This window comes from Homo sapiens, chromosome 19, assembly GCF_000001405.40.
Source record: "Homo sapiens chromosome 19, GRCh38.p14 Primary Assembly".
NCBI lineage: Eukaryota > Metazoa > Chordata > Mammalia > Primates > Hominidae > Homo > Homo sapiens.
Window position 1 is genome coordinate 32,816,308 of NC_000019.10, and position 19,424 is coordinate 32,835,731.

General features: G+C 47.9%; 2 protein-coding genes and 1 pseudogene across 16 annotated transcripts in view, besides 5 other annotated features; 1 reads left to right on the plus strand and 2 right to left on the minus strand.

Moving 5' to 3' along the window:
* Positions 1 to 13,273, plus strand: part of TDRD12 (tudor domain containing 12) — a 109,814-nt gene extending 96,541 nt beyond the window's left edge. For 4 of the 10 annotated variants that reach the window (NM_001437947.1, NM_001366102.1, XM_011527474.4 and 1 more), the window contains 7 exons: positions 1,782 to 1,850; positions 4,726 to 4,832; positions 9,791 to 9,854; positions 9,937 to 10,050; positions 10,138 to 10,291; positions 10,376 to 10,442; positions 10,857 to 13,273. In NM_001437947.1, the coding sequence (NP_001424876.1) occupies positions 1,782 to 1,850; positions 4,726 to 4,832; positions 9,791 to 9,854; positions 9,937 to 10,050; positions 10,138 to 10,291; positions 10,376 to 10,442; positions 10,857 to 10,960 (679 nt within the window). In that variant the 3' untranslated portion in view covers positions 10,961 to 13,273. Of the gene's footprint in view, positions 1 to 1,781; positions 1,851 to 4,725; positions 4,833 to 9,790; positions 9,855 to 9,936; positions 10,051 to 10,137; positions 10,292 to 10,375; positions 10,443 to 10,856 lie in introns of those variants that run through there. The other 6 variants (XM_011527473.4, NM_001438799.1, NM_001438801.1 and 3 more) reach the window with 4 other exon arrangements.
* Positions 378 to 973: an enhancer, noted in NCBI's record as "NANOG-H3K27ac-H3K4me1 hESC enhancer chr19:33307591-33308186 (GRCh37/hg19 assembly coordinates)". NCBI's record gives its function as "activates a minimal SCP1, AML or CMV promoter by ChIP-STARR-seq in naive H9 embryonic stem cells {active_cell/tissue: H9 hESC(naive)}" and the evidence as "EXISTENCE:reporter gene assay evidence [ECO:0000049][PMID:30033119]".
* Positions 974 to 1,567: an enhancer, noted in NCBI's record as "H3K27ac-H3K4me1 hESC enhancer chr19:33308187-33308780 (GRCh37/hg19 assembly coordinates)". NCBI's record gives its function as "activates a minimal SCP1, AML or CMV promoter by ChIP-STARR-seq in naive H9 embryonic stem cells {active_cell/tissue: H9 hESC(naive)}" and the evidence as "EXISTENCE:reporter gene assay evidence [ECO:0000049][PMID:30033119]".
* Positions 1,568 to 2,162: an enhancer, noted in NCBI's record as "H3K27ac-H3K4me1 hESC enhancer chr19:33308781-33309375 (GRCh37/hg19 assembly coordinates)". NCBI's record gives its function as "activates a minimal SCP1, AML or CMV promoter by ChIP-STARR-seq in naive H9 embryonic stem cells {active_cell/tissue: H9 hESC(naive)}" and the evidence as "EXISTENCE:reporter gene assay evidence [ECO:0000049][PMID:30033119]".
* Positions 5,450 to 5,685: a silencer, noted in NCBI's record as "fragment chr19:33312663-33312898 (GRCh37/hg19 assembly coordinates)". NCBI's record gives its function as "represses an EF-1alpha promoter that drives an FKBP-Casp9 reporter gene in an ReSE screen in K562 erythroleukemia cells {active_cell/tissue: K562}" and the evidence as "EXISTENCE:reporter gene assay evidence [ECO:0000049][PMID:32094911]".
* GCM1P1 (GCM1 pseudogene 1) lies at positions 7,129 to 8,198 on the minus strand (annotated as a pseudogene).
* Positions 12,728 to 13,249: an enhancer, noted in NCBI's record as "H3K4me1 hESC enhancer chr19:33319941-33320462 (GRCh37/hg19 assembly coordinates)". NCBI's record gives its function as "activates a minimal SCP1, AML or CMV promoter by ChIP-STARR-seq in naive H9 embryonic stem cells {active_cell/tissue: H9 hESC(naive)}" and the evidence as "EXISTENCE:reporter gene assay evidence [ECO:0000049][PMID:30033119]".
* SLC7A9 (solute carrier family 7 member 9) overlaps positions 14,204 to 19,424 on the minus strand; it is a 39,257-nt gene continuing 34,036 nt past the window's right edge. For all 6 annotated transcript variants that reach the window (NM_001126335.2, NM_014270.5, XM_011526402.4 and 3 more), the window contains 2 exons: positions 16,842 to 17,016; positions 14,204 to 14,377 (listed from right to left, as the gene is read on the minus strand). In NM_001126335.2, coding sequence (NP_001119807.1) covers positions 14,313 to 14,377; positions 16,842 to 17,016 — 240 coding nt within the window. In that variant the 3' untranslated portion in view covers positions 14,204 to 14,312. The remainder of the gene's footprint in view (positions 14,378 to 16,841; positions 17,017 to 19,424) is intronic.

Sequence of the window (19,424 nt, forward strand, 5' to 3'; positions counted from 1 at the left end):
CCTCCCTCTAGGTACTCCCCCTCCCCAAGAGGAGCCATTCTCCTGATGTCGAAAAGCAGGGATGGTTTTCCCCAGTTTTGCACTTTGTTTGAAAGGAATTAGACAGTATGCCTCCTCTCCATAGTGAGTTACAGAAGCTAGGCTCAAAGGAGGCATAAATTCTCTAAATTCTCACAGCTACATAATGTTCCTTTGTATGAATATACCATTATTTGTTTACCCATTCTACTGTTGACTGGGGAAATTTCCAGTTTGGGGTACTTCAGGTAATGGCGCTTTAAACATTACCGTACATGTCTTTTACAAATATATACACTTACAAATATATTTCTGACGGAATGGGATTACTGAGTCATAGTTAGAGTTACTACCCAATAGTGTTCCAAAGTGGCTGCGCCAGCGTCTCCTCCCATGGGGGGCATTAGAGAGACTGTGACAGTCACTCCGAGGAGGGATCCTGGCAGCTCCAGAGGGGGAAGGATCTGTATCAAGAACTCCTTCCAGCCAGGAGGAAAACAGCAGGCACCTGTTAGGAAAGTGGGCAAAAGACCTGAGCAGCCACTTCAGGATACCTAATTACCATATGAGAAGGTGCTGGAACTCCTGAGTCATCAGGGAGATGCAGATGAAAGCCCAGGGAGTAACACCACAGCATGCCCAGCCCACCAGAGAGGGGAATGAGAGAAGGAAGGAAAACACGCACCAAGTGTGGGCAGGGATGAGAGTGGCAGGGCTTCCCAAAACTTGACCAGAGCACTGTTAGCACAGCTAAAAAGGCTCACAGTGATTCCTTCAATTGCATGTGTTTTATCGTGGCAAAATAAACATGACAACAGCTGCCATTTAAACTCTTTTTAAGTGTACAATTCAGTGGCATTTAGGACATTCTCAGTGTTGTGCAACCATCATCGCTATCCATCTCCAGAACTTGCTCATCATCTGGACAGAAACTCCATACTCCTTAAATAATAATTCCAGAGTCCACCCCCCGCCCAGCCCCCTACTCTCCTTTGTCTCTACGAATCTGCCAATCCTGGGCACTTTAAGTGGAATCGTCCACTGTTTACCCTTTTGTGCCTGGCTCGTCTCAGTGTAAGGTCCTCAAGGTCCACACGTGTTGCAGCCCGGGTCAGATTTCCTTCCCTTTGAAGCTCATCCTCCATGGCATGGATCACCACGTTTCACTTCTCCATTCATCTTCCTGCGCACACCTGGGCTGCTGCCCCTCTTGACTGTGGTGAGTGTGCTCCTGTGTATACAGGTGTACAAATACCTGTTTGAGCCCCTGCCTTCACTTCTCTGGGGTTGCTACTCAGAAGTGGAGCTGCTGGGCCCTGTGGGAATCCTGTGTATGATTTTTGGGGAACCTCCATCCAGGTTCCGCAGCAGCTTCCCCATTGCCTGTTCCAGCAGCCATGCCCGAGGCCTGCAGTTCTCCATGTCCTCTCCTTGACCCCGCCCGAGGTGCAAACTCCAGGTCTCTTCAGGGCTCTTCCGGGCGTGCCTCTGTGCGCTTGTGCAATTCTAAATGGCCCGTACACACGACTGCTTTTGAACATCCTAATTCCCCAGTCTCTTGCTCTCTGCGTCTCCTCTGGCCCAGCCCACCCAGGCATCCTAGATCTGTAGGGCCTGGTAGCTTTAGAAGCAGGCCTCTGTCTCAAAAAAAAAAAAAAAGTGTTTTTACCCATGCACTCCAAGCTCTGTCCTCTACTGTCCCCAGACAGGCTCCACAGATGCACATGATTATTTGCAAATGAAGTCTGCTCTGCTTTCTCCAGGCCGAGGGTGACAGGGACCAGTCCTGCTCAAGACCAGGATCATCCATCCGAGGAGCAGGGGGGGCAGGGGTGAGTAAGAACACCACAGAGCTTCCTCCCAGAATGCCAGGGACAGGGGGCCATGTGTGAGGGGGACAGTGCATGGGGACACCTGGGAGGAGTCTCCACGGGCCGAGGGAAGGACTGGGCTGTGAGTTCCAGGAGCAGGGATGAAGGTACTCAGAGCGGAGCAGAACACAGAGACCCGGAGGTGCTGGGCCAGGTCTTGTGGGGCCTGTGGCCACTGCAAGGAATGGGTTCTTGCTCCACAGAGGCAGGAGCCATGAGGGGGTTTTGAGCAGAGGAGTGACTTGAACAGAAGATGGTTCGTGGCTACTGTGTTGAGAACAGACTGAAGGGAGGGCTAGGGGACAAGACTGTGCCAGGAGCTTAGGACAGGAGGATGGAGGCTTGGACCAGGTGGCTTTGTGGAGGTTGAGAAGCTGCTGGTTTATCAGTGTGTTCTGCTAGAGCTGACGGGGCTCCAGGCAGCCTGCATCTGTGGCAAGAGCACAGCCCTCGTGGCAGGGCCTGGGAGCCCCAGAGGTGTGAGAGGAGGGGTCCGGGGGTGAGCCCTGGTGCCTCCACTGGGGAGCATGGAGTAGGGTGGGGACGTTGTAGCCAGCAGGTGGAGGGAAGCCTGGAGAGGTGAGTAGGCGAGGGATGCGTGTCCCGGACAGGAGTGATGAGCTAGCCCAGGTGCAGCTGCAGACCCAGCGAGTGAGGACCAAGACAGACAGCTGGGCTAGTGGCCTGCTGGACTAGTGGGCTGCTGGGCTAGTGACTTGCTGGGTTAGTGGCCTGCTGGACTAGTGACTTGCTGGTTTAGTGGCCTGCTGGGTTAGTGGTTGTTGGTGACCTTGAGAGATTCCTAAGTTCAGCTGAAAGGAGGATTTAAAATAATGTGGGCCAGGCTTGGTGGCTCATGATTGTAATCCCAGCACTTTGGGAGGCCGAGGCAGGAGGATTGCTCAAGCTCAGGAGTTCGAGACCAGCCTGGGCAACATAGCAAGACCCTGTCTCTACTAAAAATACAAAAATTAGCTGGGTTTGGTGGTACAAGCCTGTAGTTCTAGCTACTTGGGACACTGAGGTGGGAAGATTGGTTGAGCCCAGGAGGTTTAGGCTGCAGTGAGCTGTGATTGTGCCACTGCACTCCAGCCTGGGTGACAGCAAGACCTTGTCTCAAAAAAAAAAAAAATGACAAAGATAAACATAGTATGATCTAAAGTTTTTTAGTTTTTTACCTTAATAAAAATGGATACCTATAGGATTAGAATACAGGGTAGTTTCCCTCTACTTTCAAGAAAAAAAAAATTTCCCATACTTTTAAGATACTTTTTTAGAAATGAAGATGTCATTAAACTTTAGTAGATTTAACCAAAATGAGGTTTGGTGGCTTATGGGAAGCACTGACTTTGAGCCCCAGCCCTGTGTAAAGGCTCCCACAGCCCCCTTTCCCACTGTAGCTTTGTGGTTAAGGGAGCTTAACATACCCGTGGTCACGAACACAGAGCATACAGCACTGCGAGGTTTCACAGAGAGCCTGCTAGAAGAGACCCCATATCAGACAGCTCCTGGAGAACAGGGGATCCTGACAGGTAGAGAGGGAATGGCGAGAATATTTCATGCTGTGACCCGCAGATCTGGAAGCCACAGGACTTGGCGGTTGGCAGATGTTAGGGAACGTGGGTCTGCAGGTCTGAGCCCTGGTGCCTGGGGAATGCTGGTGCGGTGGACAGTGACAGGTGGTTTCCAGGCACAGCCCACAGCAGAGGAGGAGAGGCTGAGGTGGGCTGTGGAGGTGCCAGTTTTTAAGGTTACTGAAAGTCTACGCCTAGGGCTCAGGAAAGCAGCTGGGGAAGGCTCTTGGTTTGCTGCTGTTTGAGGAGAGTCAAAGCTCAGTGAGTGTGAGGAGGAAGGAATCTACCTAGCAGAGGAGGATCTATCGAAGGAGAAGAGGGTGGGCGACTGCACAGAGCCTGGGGAGGGGCGGTGGCTCAGGACGCTCGCTGCCTGAATCTGGAAAGTGCCACACTGCAGGCTTCTTCTGGGCCCCTCAGAAGACAGGCACGGACCCCTCCTTCTCACAGGTTTGTGTGTGTGGCTGTCAGAAGACAGCACACCCCTCCTCCTCGTGTGTGTGTGTTTGCTCATTTAGGCTTGAATTGTCTCTTCAAAGATGTACAAAAACTGAGTCACATTGTCACCCACGAGGAAGGGAGCTGGCTGGCTGGGGAGCAGGGGTGAGAGGAGCTTTTCAGTGTACAGCCAAATTTGACTTCTTTTAAAATACTGAACCACATGAATGTGGTTACCTATTCAAAGAACCAAAAGAATACTACCATTTAAAAATTTTAAAATAAGTATTCTAGCTAGTTATTAAGTAGGATAAAATATGGGGCAGCACGTTGAATTTAGTACGTTCCCATATGTTTAAATGTGTGTATGTGTCCATGTGTTTTAGATAGAAAGGCATAGAAGGCAATAATTTCTTTTTTATGCAAAGAATATTTCTAGAAGTGGGCCCAAACTGGTAACAGGGGTGGTCTTTGGGAAGATGGCCCCAGAGACTGGGTCAGGGGAAGCAGGAAACTGGCTTGTCACTTTCTGTCCTTTGGTCCTGTTTGAAGTGGGCAGCAGTGAGTATGGAAGGCAAACCATCTTGGTGAAGAGTGAAGGCCTGCCTGGTCCCATGTCAGTCATGCACTGTGTGCTTGCCCATCATCCTTGTCGGAAGGAACAGAGTTGATGGGCTGCCTGGGGCATCTTAAATGTCATAAGCTCTACGTGGGTCTGACTCCACGGCCACAGGCACTTCACGGTCATTTATTGCCTGCCTTCCTCTTCCACTTGGGCAGTTCCTGTAGAGAGCCAGGTGTTAACCCCTGCCTCTCCCGTCTAGGACGCCTCCAGCAGAAGATGCTGCTTGCCTGCAGAGCCCCCAGCCTGAGGACACGGGTGCAGAAGGAGGGGCTGAGTCCAAGACGAGCTCAGAAAACCAGAAGCCTGGTGGGTACTTGGTATTCAAAAGATGGTTAAGTTCAAATCGTTAATGTCTGGAAAATTGCTAATGTTTAGACTTTCTACTTTGAGATGAAATGTAGAGAAGATGACATAAACTGATATCACCTAACTGTTCTTATTTTTGACAGGTCAGCCCCCAGTGTTTTGTTTTTGTAGTTTGAGGTCTAACTTCCATCCAGTGATGCGCACAGATGTTAAGTGAACAGCTCAGCAGAGTGTGTGTGTGTGTGTGTGTGTGTGTGTGTGTGTGTGTGTGCGTGTGAACCACACCCACATCGAGCTGTTGAACATTTCCAGGACCCCAGCAGTCTCCTGTCCGGAACCCTCCTGACTGACCATTCTGATTTCTGACACCATGAGTTTTGCTGACTTGGAAGCATATAGAATACATTCTTTTATTTTAAACAGAGATGGAGTCTCACTGTGTGGCCCAGACTGATTTTGAACTCCTGGCCTCAAGTGATCCTTCTGCCTTGGCCTCTAAGAGTGTTGGGATTATAGGCGTGAGCCACTGTGCCCCGCCTATAGTATATGTTCTTGTGGCTTCCTTCAGTCAACATTATGTGTGTGAAATTAATCTGTATGATTGCAAGTGGAGGCATTTTTTCTTAATCTTGGAAAGTATTTGCATATTGCATGGCTCTCTCCAGACTTTACATCTAGGCTCACTTTTATTGCACAGCGCCTCAGCAAAGAGGAGGAGCTGGCGTTAATAGAGTTGGCTGACCTCGGCCAGGCTAATTGCACGGACTTAGCAGACATTTCTGACGTGTATGAACTTGGCACTGAGTTAGGTGCCATAAAGAAAAAAGATAATTAGCTGGGCATGGTGGGGGGGCACCTGTAATTCCAGCTACTCAAGAGGCTAAGGTGGGAGGATCAATTGAACCCGGGAGGCAGAGGTTGCAGTGAGCCAAGATCACACCACTGCACTCCAGCCTGGATGACAGATTGAGACTATAAAAAACAAAAAACAAAAACAAAAACAAAACTGGTTGGGCACGGTGGCTCATGCCTATGATCCCAACACTTTGGGGGGCTGAGGCAGGCAAATCACTTGAGGTCAGGAGTTTGAGACCAGCCTGGCCAACATGTTGGAACCCCATCTCTACTAAAAACACAAAAATATTAGCCAGCTGTGGTGGCGCACGCCTGTAGTCCCTACTACTTGGGAGGCTGAGGCAATAGAATCTCTTGAATCCAGGAGGCGGAGGTTGCAGTGAGCCAAGATTGTACCACTGCACTCTTGCCTGGGCAACAGAATGAGACTCCGTCTCAAAATAAATAAATAAACAAATAATAGATAAACGGGGCTGGGTGCGGTGTCTCACGCCTGTAATCCCAGCACTTTGGGAGGCCAGGACGGGCAGATCGTGAGGTCAGGAGATCGAGACCATCGTGGCTAACACGGTGAAACCCCGTCTCTACTAAAAATACAAAAAATTAGCCAGGCGTGGTGGTGGGCACCTGTAGTCCCAGCTACTCGGGAGGCTGAGGCAGGAGAAGGGTGTGAACCCTGGAGGCAGAGCTTGCAGTGAGCCAAGATCGCGCCACTGCACTCCAGCCTGGGTGACAGAGCGAGACTCCATCTCAAAAAAAAAAAGATAAATGGGACAAAACCCAAGCCCCTTGTGGAAGGAGAATTCAGTGAGGGAGAAGGAAAGGAGAGGTGAGGAGACCATTTGCCGTCACTGGAATTTATCTTCGTGTGGCCTTTTAATTTTGATATTCACTGTCTTTATGAAATGGAGTTAGATCATTGCTCCTTGTCTTGACAAATCTTAGAAATTGCCCAGACAACATATATTGATAAACTCATCCCATGACTAGACAAAGTCTCCAACACTCCAGTGCTGGGAGCTCCAGCTTTCCACACTGCAGATGTTCTGCACCTCTGCTGTGGTCCCTCATTCCGCTTCCCAGGAGGGCGGGATAAGATCCTGGGAGGGTGGACCCTGCATGGCTCTGCTCCCTTTGATATGCATCCGAGACAGTGAAACCCACAGATAACACAGCTGAGGTGCTGAGAGCCCCAGAGGGTGGTTTGCTCCCTGACAGGTTCATTCCTCATTGAGGATGGAGAGTGTGGGAGGAGGAGCCGCAGAGGTGGCTCCTGTGACGAAGGCAGCCTTGCCCACTGCCTGTGTGATTCCCATGCATCTCTGGGTATGTTCTGGAAGTTGTTTCCTAAGGAAATTCTTCCAGCCATTTCCCCACACAGCTTTTTTTTGGGGGGTGGGAGGGGATTGTTGTGAAGGATGGGGGTCATCTGGAAGGATGGGTTTAGACGCATTTCATTATTGCCGTGGTCCAAACCCAGGTTCTTCATCACAGTCCCATGTGCTGCTCTTGCTGGCCGTGACTGTGGCTGGTGAGGTGAGAGGTGCAGGTGAGGAGAAAGGATCTTCCGGAGCCGAGTGGTACGTGGGGGACTGAATGTAGCTGTTAAAATGCACATACACGTTCTCTTCATAAAGTTTGCCCCTGGATTTGGCCACAGCGGGGGGCAGCTGGTTTCGCTGTGTGGGAACCACTGGAAAAGGGTTCTGAAGAGTTCTGGAAAAGACAGTTTGCAAGGCCAGCTGGTCAGAGGAACAGGGTCATTGGGACAACAGTTGTCATTAAGAGGATTTTCCCAGAGCAGTGTTTATTCCACGGTAGCAGACCGGGATCCAGTAGACTGCAGAGTGGGGCTGAAGAGGGTCTGCACTGTCGCAGGCCCTGCTACCGGCCCATTTGCACTTTGCATAGAGCCTGGTGTGGGGCCCTCGGGGGACGTCAGGGCAGCCAGGTGGGTCCCCCAAACCATAGCCCTTGGAGGACATGCAGTTGTTTACTGAGCTCTACTGGGAAGCTCTGGCTATTAGATGTCCACTGCAGCCACCAGGCACTTGGCCACCTTCCTGGAAGAGCCGTTGTCTCAGCTGGAAGAGACTTCATCTCTGGGCTCCTGCTCAGGTTCAGGCAGGTGAAGGAAAACGTCATGCACTTTCTTCATGGTTCTTCTTGCCTTGGCTTCCCGCAGGGTTTCTGGTATTTGGACAGTCAGTGTCTCCATGTGGCTAGAAAAGTATGATGCATCCATTGTGCTGCCACACGCTGGTGAGGGGCAAGGCCTGAGCTTCAGAGGCTCATCACAGTTAGGGCAGCATTCCTCCGCAGGATCTGCCAGCCCTGCTGCAGCTGGTCGGTCTCAGGTGGACCCCGTGCCCTCCTCTGCAGACGTGACACCCGCATGCCACTGTGCCAGGCAGGGCTTCTGGAGGACGCAGGTGTGGGGTTGTTTGTGTTGCATGTGGCCCGGCTCGGGGGCTGCTGCCTGCTCTTGCCCTCCTAGCTGTAGCTGTGCTCTGTGCAAGCAAACACGATCTCGGGACCCTAAACTCCCTCTGCCAAAGGGGAAGTTACACGCTGGACCTGGGTCTAAGCCTGTCTGCTTTTGTTCGCAAGCAGACAGCTGTCGCTTCATAGCCCTGGGTCGTAGCCCCGTGTCCTGTTATGTCTCCTGTCACATGTCACTTTATCTTGTGTAAAGCTAGCTTTCCTGAGCTCGAGGGGATGCGTGATTGTCTTTGTCCTGCCCCACCCCCCGCCGCCCTTTCTTCCTCCAGCTTGCTCTCCCTTTTAGACACAGATGTTTAGGAAGCCCCTTTGGAAAAGCAGAGGCCATGGCGCTCCTGTGATTTGTGTTTCCCGGGGCACATCCTCAACTTTGGATAAATCAACCTCGAGTCGGCTGAGACTCCCTCAGTCCCTTTTTGGTTGACGGCTCCGAGGAGGAACCTGGCCGCTTGCTCCCAGAAGCGGTGTCTTGTTCTTGTTCGCGTTCAGTGGCAGGACTGCCTCCTTCGCACCCTAGCTTCACGGCTCTGTCTTTAGGATCAGTCCCAGCTCTGTGATCAGGCCAGGCCACCCCGGGTTTCCTCTGCTCGCCTCCTCTCAGAAGGGCTTGGGGATTGTGCTCTCCAAGGTTCTTGACGTCACTGGGTCAGTGCACTCTTTTCCTGAGGCCACTCGATGGCAGGCGGCATGTGACACCGAGGATGGCGCTTTCTCAGCAGGAGTCTGTTTGTTTCTTTGCCATTGTTTTCTATACCATGAATAAACCACAGAGGGTGGATCTGTTTTCCGTCTCAGGCTACTGTGATTCCAGCAGCTGTGAACATTCTTACTCCGGTGTTTGGATGGAAGCCTTGCCTGTTGGAGATTGAGAAGTTCACATTGCGTTGTTTGAGAATATGTCATGTCCAGCACTGGCTCCTCGTGCGTGCTGGCCGCTGTCCTTAGGGCATCCTGGCAGGTCAAACAGCTCCAGAGAAGCCTGCATGTTTGTATCCAAGGCCAGCCACTGCAATGAGGTTCTTTTTCAAATGAGTGACTTCACTTCCTGGTCATTGAATTTTAATACTTGTCAAAGGCTGTTTTTATTTTAAAATAAAATTTTAGGCCAGGCACAGTGGCTTAAGCCTGTAATCCCACCACTTTGGGAGGCCGAGGCAGGTAGATCACCTGAGGTCAGGAGTCCGAGACCAGCCTGACCAACATGGTGAAACTCCATTCCTACTAAAAATACAATATTAGCCGAGTGTGGTGGCGCATGCTTGTAATCCCAGCTACTTGGTAGGCTGAGGCAGGAGAATCGCTTGAACTCGAAGGCAGAGGTTGCAGTGAGTCAAGATCATACCATTGCACTCCAGCCTGGGCAACAAGAACGAAACTCCATCTCAAAAATAAAAATTTTAAAATTTTGTTTACCTATGTGATGGTTTTAATTTTTTCTAACTGTTCTTTGCAGCTAGATACTAGGGTTACTCAATTTACACTTTTATGTGATTCCTCATCTAGACGTTGCATAAGGTACAAAAAAGTATATATATATGTGTGTACATGATGGAGTTACATATAAATAACCTGTAGGAAAATATGACCTTGATTTTGTGCAGAAACTTTATCTGGAAACACTGAAGGTGCCTTCATTAGCAGAACTGCACAGCCGCCTCTGAAAAGGTACGTCCACTCGGCATGGAGGAGTCGGCGTCCCTTACCCAGTTAATAAGATCAATGAATGCGCAGGTCTTTCTTCTTCTAGCTTCCACCCACAAATAAAATGGTTCCAAAAAGAAGATGTCGTCATCTTAAAGATAAGAATAAGGAATGTAAAGGACTACAAGTGTCAGTATTTAAGGGATAGAGTCGTTTTCAGGTAGGTTTATGTATAGTCATATAAAGTAAAATAGAAATAATTTTTAGCATTTTAAAAGGCTGACTTTATTTCTTTTTATAAACCCAGTGCTTGGGTGGGAGACAAATTTTACCTGGCTGATCTGGAGCTGCGGGGCAACATAAGGAAAGATGACTGCCAATGTGTGATTAGAAACGATGAACCTGTAATCACTCTGGCCAAAGAGAGAAGGGAGGCATGGTGTCACCTACTCAGACAGAGGGTGAGTTGGGATGCACTCAGCGGGTGGTCTTTACCCTGCGTGTGTCATATTCACGCGCTCACTGTCAGCTGTTCTCTTGAACAGAACCCCAACGTGGCTTTTGATTTTGATCACTGGGAAGACTGTGAAGAGGACAGCCACTTCCCCAAGGGTAAGGCATAGAGCGCCCACTCTCCGAGGGGTTGTAGGTTCTGAGGGCAGTGAGGGACACCATCACCCACTTAGGAATTCAGCCTTGGTGGAAGTGGACCGTTCATGTCAAGCCCTGAGAAATCAGTTTTCTCTTTGTTTATCTTGGTGCTAAACGTTCTGGTTTGAGTACTTTTCAACCCTTGGTGATAAACACACCTTTTAATAACACACTACAGATATTCTTCCTAGAAGAATAAATTATTTGTAAGCAGACCAATTTGACCTGCTCATTTCTTACCTAAAATAATGAAAATATAAGATACATAGAGCTGGAACCCAAGGCATTTTTTTCTGCATTGACCCAAATAATGGGGGGAAATAAAGATTTGCTGATTAGTCTACACTTATTTGTTATAATATCTTACTCCTTTAGTAGTGAATTCTAAAAACCTGCCGTACACAGTGACAGAGGTGGTTGAAGACAGTAGCAGCACTTCAGAGGATGACGACAGTGAGAGTGAAAGAGAAGGTGAATGACGTCCTCAAGAGCGGCTGGAAGATGTTGAACAAAAATGGATATTGCCATGTGACCGACAGTTAAGAAAACAGTCAGTCATAACCAAATCTTTTTCTTTTCTTTTCTTTTTTTTTTTTTTTTTTTTTTTTTGAGACAGAGTCTTGCTCTGTCGGCCAGGCTGGAGTGCAGTGGCATGATCTTGGCTCACTGCAACCTCTGCCTCACAGGCTCAAGCAATTCTCCTGCCTCAGCCTCCCGAGTAGCTGGGATTACAGGCATGTGCCACCATGCCTGACCAATTTTTGTATTTTTAGTAGAGACAGGGTTTCACCATGTTGGACAGGCTGGTCTCGAACTCCTGACCTCAGGTAATCCTCCCACCTCAGCCTCCCAAAGTGCTGGGATTACAGGTGTGAGCCACCACACCCGGCCAACCAAATCTTTCTTTACCTCAAGGATAAATGATTACTGTCACCTTGTGGTGCTGGACTTGATAACGGTGAGAAATTCTTCATTGACTTAAAAATAGGCTGATGATAAGACCATCAAAGGAGGGTGGACACAGAGAAACAGCAGGTGTGGTCTGATTCCGCCGGCTTGTCTGTCCTGTCTGGCGCCTCTCGCCACTCACCCTGGCAGAGCAGACATGCATCTGGGTGATGAAATGCACTGTCTGGAGTCAGTCCATTCATTTTTTTTCACCTAGACCTTTGCTACATTGCTACAAACCTGATCTTACACATATAAATTGAGGTTTCTAATGTACACACTTAGACTCAGCAACTGTTGAACCAGCCCTTTCAACCATGAGATAGTGGGATTTAACATAACCATCTATGTGAATTGATAGTGTTAGCATTCTTGGATAGTGATAGCTCCTCAGAGTAAGTTGACTTCTGATGAAGAGATAGTCCAGGGATAGAAATTGGATTGCTCAGTAAGACCCAGGCCTTTCCGGGGTGAAGCTGCTGGTTCTAAACAATCCCTTGGACCTGCAGAGTCCTGAGCAAATGGCACAAAGGTTGCTTTTTAGTGGAAATTCACAAGGGCCTGTGGGGTGCCTGGAGGTGATCTTTGAATGCCTACATGTCGTGAGCCCTGCAGACATTCGCCACCCCATCTGCATTGTGGCTGCAGCACTGGGGGGGGTCACCAGGTTTAGGGGAGGAGTGTATGTAGTCATGGCCACACCCAGAGGCTGGCTTTTGTGCTTTGGGTTTCTTTGTTGACTGAAAAAGCGAGAAAGGTGAGCTATTGGGAAATTAAAAGTCCTGTGCACTCTGTGTCTTGTTTATCAGCTTTGCCTCGGAATGGAAAAGAATTTGGATAGAACATGAGTGTTGTGTGACGGCCCCAAGATCTTTATTATTTTTTTGTATCAGAAAGCGCCAATGCCCAGGCTTATGTATGTCCCAGCAGAAGCCACCGCTTGAACTAGAGGTGAACTTTGTCATCAAGCTGTCCTGTGAGCAGGTCTGGATCACACTCTGGCTCAGTTTTCTCATCTGTAAAATGAGACATCCCCTCATTGTGTGGCCTGGCCTTGTCTCAGGGAGCGCCCGCCGAGTGCTGCTGGGTTGGGCAGTTTTTCTGCCCAGTGGCTCTGATGGGGGCTCAGAGCCCTGGCCTCCCCTGGGAGGACACGCTGTGCAGCCAGGACAGCTGCCGGGAGTGTGCCCAGGTCACTGCTATGGCCTTCGCAGGGTGACTGGCAGGTATCAAATCAGCCCATGAAGGAAGATGGTGATTTTCCTTTTTTGTAGCTAAATTGGGCAGGCTCTTGGGAAGTAGAAAGTTCTGGTGTTTTTGCTGGTGAAGGTTTTGACTGTGGAGCTCTTCTAACACCCATATCAGTGTCTGTTTCTCTGCATGTGGCTGCTGCCCTGTTGGTGGAGCTCTGGGGGCAGAGACCAGGCCGCCGTCCAGTGGCGCCCCGTGCGCACCAGCTGCCTGCTGTTTACACCCAGGTGCGCCGAGTCTCTTTCATACAGCACAGCAAATGATAATAGCTAGTGACAATGTGTTTCCTGTGCACTCGTGAAAATGCAGGGAGGACAACTGCATGCTTAGATCTGTTTCTTTTTTCAGACATTCAAATGTTCTAATATCTGAAGCTAACATTTTGTAGGATATAGGATGCTGATTATGTGAACAATTAGTCATTGGTTTTCTGTACTGCTATGAATATGTCTGATTTCAAGTTTTGGTCAAATATCTAAAATGCAAGGTGAAAGTGCCTTTGTCTCTATGCTTCTAAAATCGCTCATGCTTAGTTGTGGTATGGATGTCTTCCGCAGTGTATCATCAATAAAATTTCACTGTTTTCACAGAAATGTTGCTTTTTACATTTTTTAAACAGTACTTTCCCTGAATGCCAAACACAGAATAAAACTTTACTCACCACACTTTCTGGTTTGACTAAAACGCCCGTGAAGGCTGCTAGGGAGCCAGCGATGCTGACTGGCAATGCAGGCGACCCTCGTGATGAGCACACCGGCTGTGGAGGGTTCTGGATGGAGGCTCAGCTCTTGCCATTCATCCTGGCAGATAGATAGATACATGGCACGCACATCACAGGTTCAGCACAGGGCGCCAGTACTTTACTTTTAGGGTAGGGGAGAGTGGGTGAGAAACATTTGTACTTTAATATTTTTGTATATTTATTTACTTTTTGAGTTGGGGTCTCTGTCATCCAGGCTGGAGTGCAGTGGCATGATGATGGCTCACTACACCCTGGACTCCAGGCTCAGGTGATCCTCCCACCTCAGCCTCTTGAGTAGCTGGGGCTACAGGTGTGCAACACGATGCCTGGCTAATTTTTTTATGTTTTTTATAGATTAGATACATGATTTTGCCATGTTGCCCAGGCTGGTCTTGAACTCCTGGACTCAAGCGATCTATCCGCCTTGGCCTCCCAAAGTGCTGAGATTATAGGCGTGAGCCACCACACCTGGCCAGTAATTTACTGTTGTTTTAAAATCTATAGCAATCAATCAATCAATCAAAGCAAAAATGTCATCCATTTTATATAAGAGACCTTATTGACATTGAGTTTAAAGAACACCTTTCATTTAAGTGTGATGTGCCCCTTGTTAAATAGCTGCCACTGTAATGGAGGCTTTTATTCAGCCCTTCCCTAAGCATCTGCCTCTTGTTTGTTAGGTGACATCTCACCTGACAACAACTTTAGCAAACAAACACTTGCCACTTCCCCTTTCTAGAACCCCCACTCAGAGAACTAAGAATATCTAAAAATAACAATATTTTAAACATCTGAGTATATTTTATTCGTAAGAAAAAAAGGAAGAAATAACCACAAATATTGCTTAAGAAAATAAATTCAGCTGACTTGGCTACAAGAGACGGAGCTTGTTACTCAGGGTCTTCCTCCGGTGGGACCACTTCCATTAGCATCTGAAGGTGCATGGTAATCGGCTCTGAAATAAGAGTCAAAAATGAGTACAGTTAGTTAGACTGAAATTCGAAAGTTTCACTGGAGTTGTTGTGGGTGAGGGTGACATTGTTTTCAGTCTTTGGTGATGCGTCACCTAGACCCTGTGCTCAGGATGGCCAGCTTTCCTGCCTTCTGGTTGGATTTCACACTTTCCTGGCTTCTGTCTTCTCCCAGAATTGCAGGAATAGAAATAAAAACCTCCTAGGAGTGTCCGGAGGGACGACTGCACTTTCCAGTTCAGATGAGCTGAACAGGAGAAACAGGCAGGCTTTTAATCACATTCACTTAATAAATCTTAACTGGCTGTTACAGGCTGCCGCAGCCAGAGTTAAATTGCACACAGCCCAAGTCCTGTCCTCAAGGAGCTCCTGGAAGAGGATGCCCAGGAAGTCTTAAAGGCTTTTAGAAATGGGGTTTCCTAGGCAGGCGGATCACGAGGTCAGGAGATCGAGAATATCCTGGCTAACACAGTGAAACCCCGTCTCTACTAAAAATACAAAAAAAAAAAAAAGAAAGAAAGAAATAGGGTTTCCTGCAGTTGAATCTGTTGTAAAGGATAAAACATTGTGAATGTAATATAGACTTTTTGTTTTTGTGTTTTTTGAGATGGACTCTCGCTCTGTTGCCCAGGCTGGAGTGCAGTGGGGGGATCTTGGCTTACCGCAAGCTCCGCCTCCCGAGTTCACGCCATTCTTCTGCCTCAGCCTCCTGAGTAGCTGGGACTACAGGCGCCCGCCACCACGCCCGGCTAATTTTTTTTTGTATTTTTAGTGGAGACGGGGTTTCACCGTGTTAGCCACGATGGTCTCGATCTCCTGACCTCGTGATCTGCCCCCTCAGCCTCCCAAAGTGCTGGGATTACAGACATGAGCCACCGTGCCCGGCCCGATATAGACTTTTTTAAAGGTGTAATTCCGTCTCTTTTGATGTACTTTGACACAAGTGCTTTCTTTTCAGAAGCAAAAGTGGCTACTAACATAGCTAAACTTTTAAACAACTGTCCTAAAACTGATGAGGGTCAGGACTGCTGAAAGAGTGAGCCCTGTGCCCTTGGCATTAAAAGGCTTGGGCCCCAGCCCAGTTCCCCAGGCCAAGGCCATGACTTTTTGTGTGTCTTTGCAATGCTGCTAGGCCTCTTAGATGATGTCTGCATATCAGACAAAGGAGAATGGTGTTTCAGGATGAGACGCATGATGGTGGGAATATGCCTAATGCTACTGAACTTTACACTGACAAGTGGCTGAGATAGAAACGTTTATGTTGTGTGTCTTTCGCAATTAAAAAGAAAATGGGGCTGGGCGCAGTGGCTCATGCCTGTAATCCCTACATTTCGGGAGACTGATGCAGGTGGATCACCTGAGGTCAGGAGTTCAAGACCAGCCTGGCCAACATGATGAAACCCCGACTCTACTAAAAATACAAAACAACAACAAGGAAATTAGCCGGGTGTGGTGGCAGGCGCCTGTAATCCCAACTACTCAGGAGGCTGAGGCAGGAAAATCGCTTGAACGTGGGAGGCAGAGGTTGCAGTGAGCCGAGATCGTGCCAGTGCATTCCAGCCTGGACAACAAGAGCAAAACTCCATCTCAAAACAAAGAAAATGGGCCGGGCGCAGTGGCTGACATCTGTAATCCCAGCACTTTGGGAGGCCGAGGTGGGTGGATCACCTAAGGTCAGGAGTTGGAGACCAGCCTGGCCAACATGGTAAAACCTCATCTGTACTAAAAATACAAAAATTAGCTGGGCGTGGTGGTGCACACCTGTAATCCCAGCTACTCGGAAGGCTGAGGCACAAGAATCGCTTGAACCGGGAGGTGGAGGTTGCACAGTGAGCTGAGACCGCACCACTGCACTCCAGCCTGGGCAACAGAGTGAGACTGTGTCTCAAAAAAAAAAAAAAAAAGAAAGAAAGAAAGAAAAAGAAAAACGGCCAGGTACGGTGGCTTAGGCCAGTAGTCCCAGCACTTTGGAGAGCCAAGGTGGAAGGGTCATTTGAGCCCAGGAGTTCAAGACCAGTCTGGGCCACCTAGCGAGACTCCTTCTCTACAAAAAGTAAAAAAAATAGCCAGGTGTAGTGTGTGCCTGTGGTCCCAGCTACTTGGGAGGCCCAGGTGGGAGGATGGCTTGAGCCCGGGAGTTCAAGACTGCAGTGAGCTATGACCATGCCACTGCACTTTAGCCTGGGCAACAGAGCAAGACTGTGTCTCCAAAAAGAAAAGAAAATGGTGCTTTCCCTTCCTACTTATTACAGTAATTGACAGGAACAAAACAATCAAGGGTGGACCCAGAGGTGTACAGTGAGGGCGTGGGCATGTGTCCTCCTGGGACGAGGGAGATCTGCCAGCAGGGTGAGACACTGTGACAGAGGTCTTGGAGTCAGGACAGGTGAGGACGCCGTGCCTGCCTGCACCTCACAGAGGCCAAGCGGCCCTTCTGTTGGTACTTACTTGAGATTTTCTGAGCCCATCCAAACTTGTAGTGGACAAACAGGAAGTAAAATAAAAGGCCGCTTAATATAAACAGCACACAGTAGAGGTACTCCCAGGTGGGCTTGCTGATGATTGGAGCCAGAACCAAAAACACAGAGATGAGTGTCATCAAGACGGGAATGACTACGGGCACCTGGAGACGAAAAACAGGTCATGGGTACCCATTTTCTTTTTGAAATTTTTCATGATAAAAAACCGATTTTTATAAAAAGAGTATGAACTCCATGTACCCCCTCCTCCAATTTCAATCATTTTAATGTAATTTTGCCAATCTTATTTCATCTATACCTTTTAAAAATTTTCTTTACTTTTTAAAAAGTTTTTTGGCCGGGCATGGGTGCTCACACCTGTAATCCCAGCACTTAGGGAGGCCGAGGCCGGTGGGTCCCTTGAGGTCAGGAGCTCAAGACCAGCCTGGCCAACATAGTGAAACACCATCTCTACCAAAAACACAAAAGTTAGCTGGGCGTGGTGGCAGGTGCCTGTAATCCCAGCTCCTCAGGAGCTGAGGCAGGAGAGTCGCTTGAACCCAGGAGGCAGAGGTTGCAGTGAGCCGAGATTGCACCATTGCACTCTAGCCTGGGCCACGGGAGGGAAACTCCATCTCAAAAAAGAAAAAAAAAAATAGATAAACTGTTTAATGTTTTAGCATCCACTGATGATCGTTGCCTTCATTGTTTCATCAGGGTTTGCAAAATGGTGATTTTTCTAATTTGTAATTTCTTCCTCAATTATCTGAAATGCTATATGAAGTACTTCAACTTTCTGGTTATTCTGAATTGCAGTTCATACAGGAAAGGCAGGATTAGTGCTGTATTCTGTGTGTTTCCAGAATGACAAGTTGGGCCCCTGAGACCTCCAAAGGCAACTCCAGCCTGTGGGTTTTTCTATACATGGTGAGTTTCAACCCGTTGTAGTCATTGTTCACGTTGTTCAGAAGGTCCTGTGCGGGGCGGCAGGAACCCCTCACACTGTCCTGGGCCCTGGGAATGGGACGCCAGTGCTCTTCAAAAGCCTCTTTGTTTTCTGGGTGACAAGAAGTGCCATACCTGGGTTTTCATTTATCTCTCCAGAGCCAGACGTGGGTTTTCATCCATTTCTCCAGAGAGCTTTGTTTCCTTTTAGCAGGAAATGGCATTTAAAGACCATAACCTGGAGGCTGGCTGCAGTGGTTCGCTCCTGTAATCCCAGCACTTTGGGAGGCTGAGGCAGGCAGATCACTTGAGTCTAGGAGTTCAAGATCAGCCTGGCCAACATGGTGAAACCCCGTCTCTACTAAAAATACAAAAATTAGCCGGGCGTGATGGCAGATGCCTGTAATCCCAGCAACTTGGGAAGCTGAAGCAGGAGAGTCGCTTGAACCCGGGAGGCGGAGGCTGCAGTGAGCAAAGAATGTGCCACTGCACTCCAGCCCAGGAGACAGAGTGAGACTCTAAAAATAAATAAAGACCATAACCTGGGTGATTGGAGTACTCATTATCCTTTTTCAAGGACAGAGATTAATTTTGGTATTCTCTTATTAGGAACAAAGTTAAGTTTGCTGGGATTGTTTTGTTTTCATTTTTAAGTGTCATTGCATTTTTCCTTTGACTGTGTTTTTTTGTTTGTTTTGTTTCCCAAGACAGAGTCTCGCTCTGTCGCTCAGGCTGGAGTGCAGTGGCGTGATCTTGGCTCACTGCAACCTCTGCCTCTTGGGTTCAAACAGTTCTCCTGCCTCAGCCTCCCAAGTAGCTGGGATTACAGGCGTGTGCCAACATGCCCAGCTAATTTTTTATTTTTAGTAGAGACAGGGTTTCACCACGTTGGCCAGGCTGGTCTCGAACTCCTGACCTCAAATGATCTGCCCATCTTGGCCTCCCAGAGCGCTGGGATTACAGGCATGAGCCAATCACACCCAGCCCCTGAATTAAACTTTTAATTAATGGATTTTCGGTCTTCAGCTACCTTTGCATAGGCTGGACCTAGTCATGATATATTATCTTTTTAGTGTAACTGGGTTCTGTTTGTTAACATTTTATTTTAGATTTTTTATATCGTTATTCCTAAGTGAGATTGGTGAGTACATTTCCCTTTTTTGTGTGAAGTTACCTTTGTAAGGTTTGGTGTCAATGTTACAGTCTAAAAATAATTTGAAAAATCAATAAAATCAATAGCTAACCTTAAAAAGGAGAAAGCACAAACACAAATAAAAAATAAAAATGGGCAATTAATCTTTACAACATAAGTTATGTTCTAAAGATTAATACAAATCATAAGACTATTTTGTACAACTCTATACAGATAAATTTGAATACATGGAAGAAATGAACAATTTTCTAGGAAAATGTAATTTACTAAAACTGATCTTAGTTGCATTAGAATCACAGGGAAATTCTAAAAATCAGACAATTCCAGTATTGCTTAATTTATTCCAGAGCATTGAAAAAGGAGGAAAACTTTCAAAAAGACTGATTATTATTCACTCATTCATTCATTTCTGTTTTTTCTAACACCTTAAGTTTTTTTCTGCTTATTAGTTCCTTCTGTTTTCTTTTGGTTTTC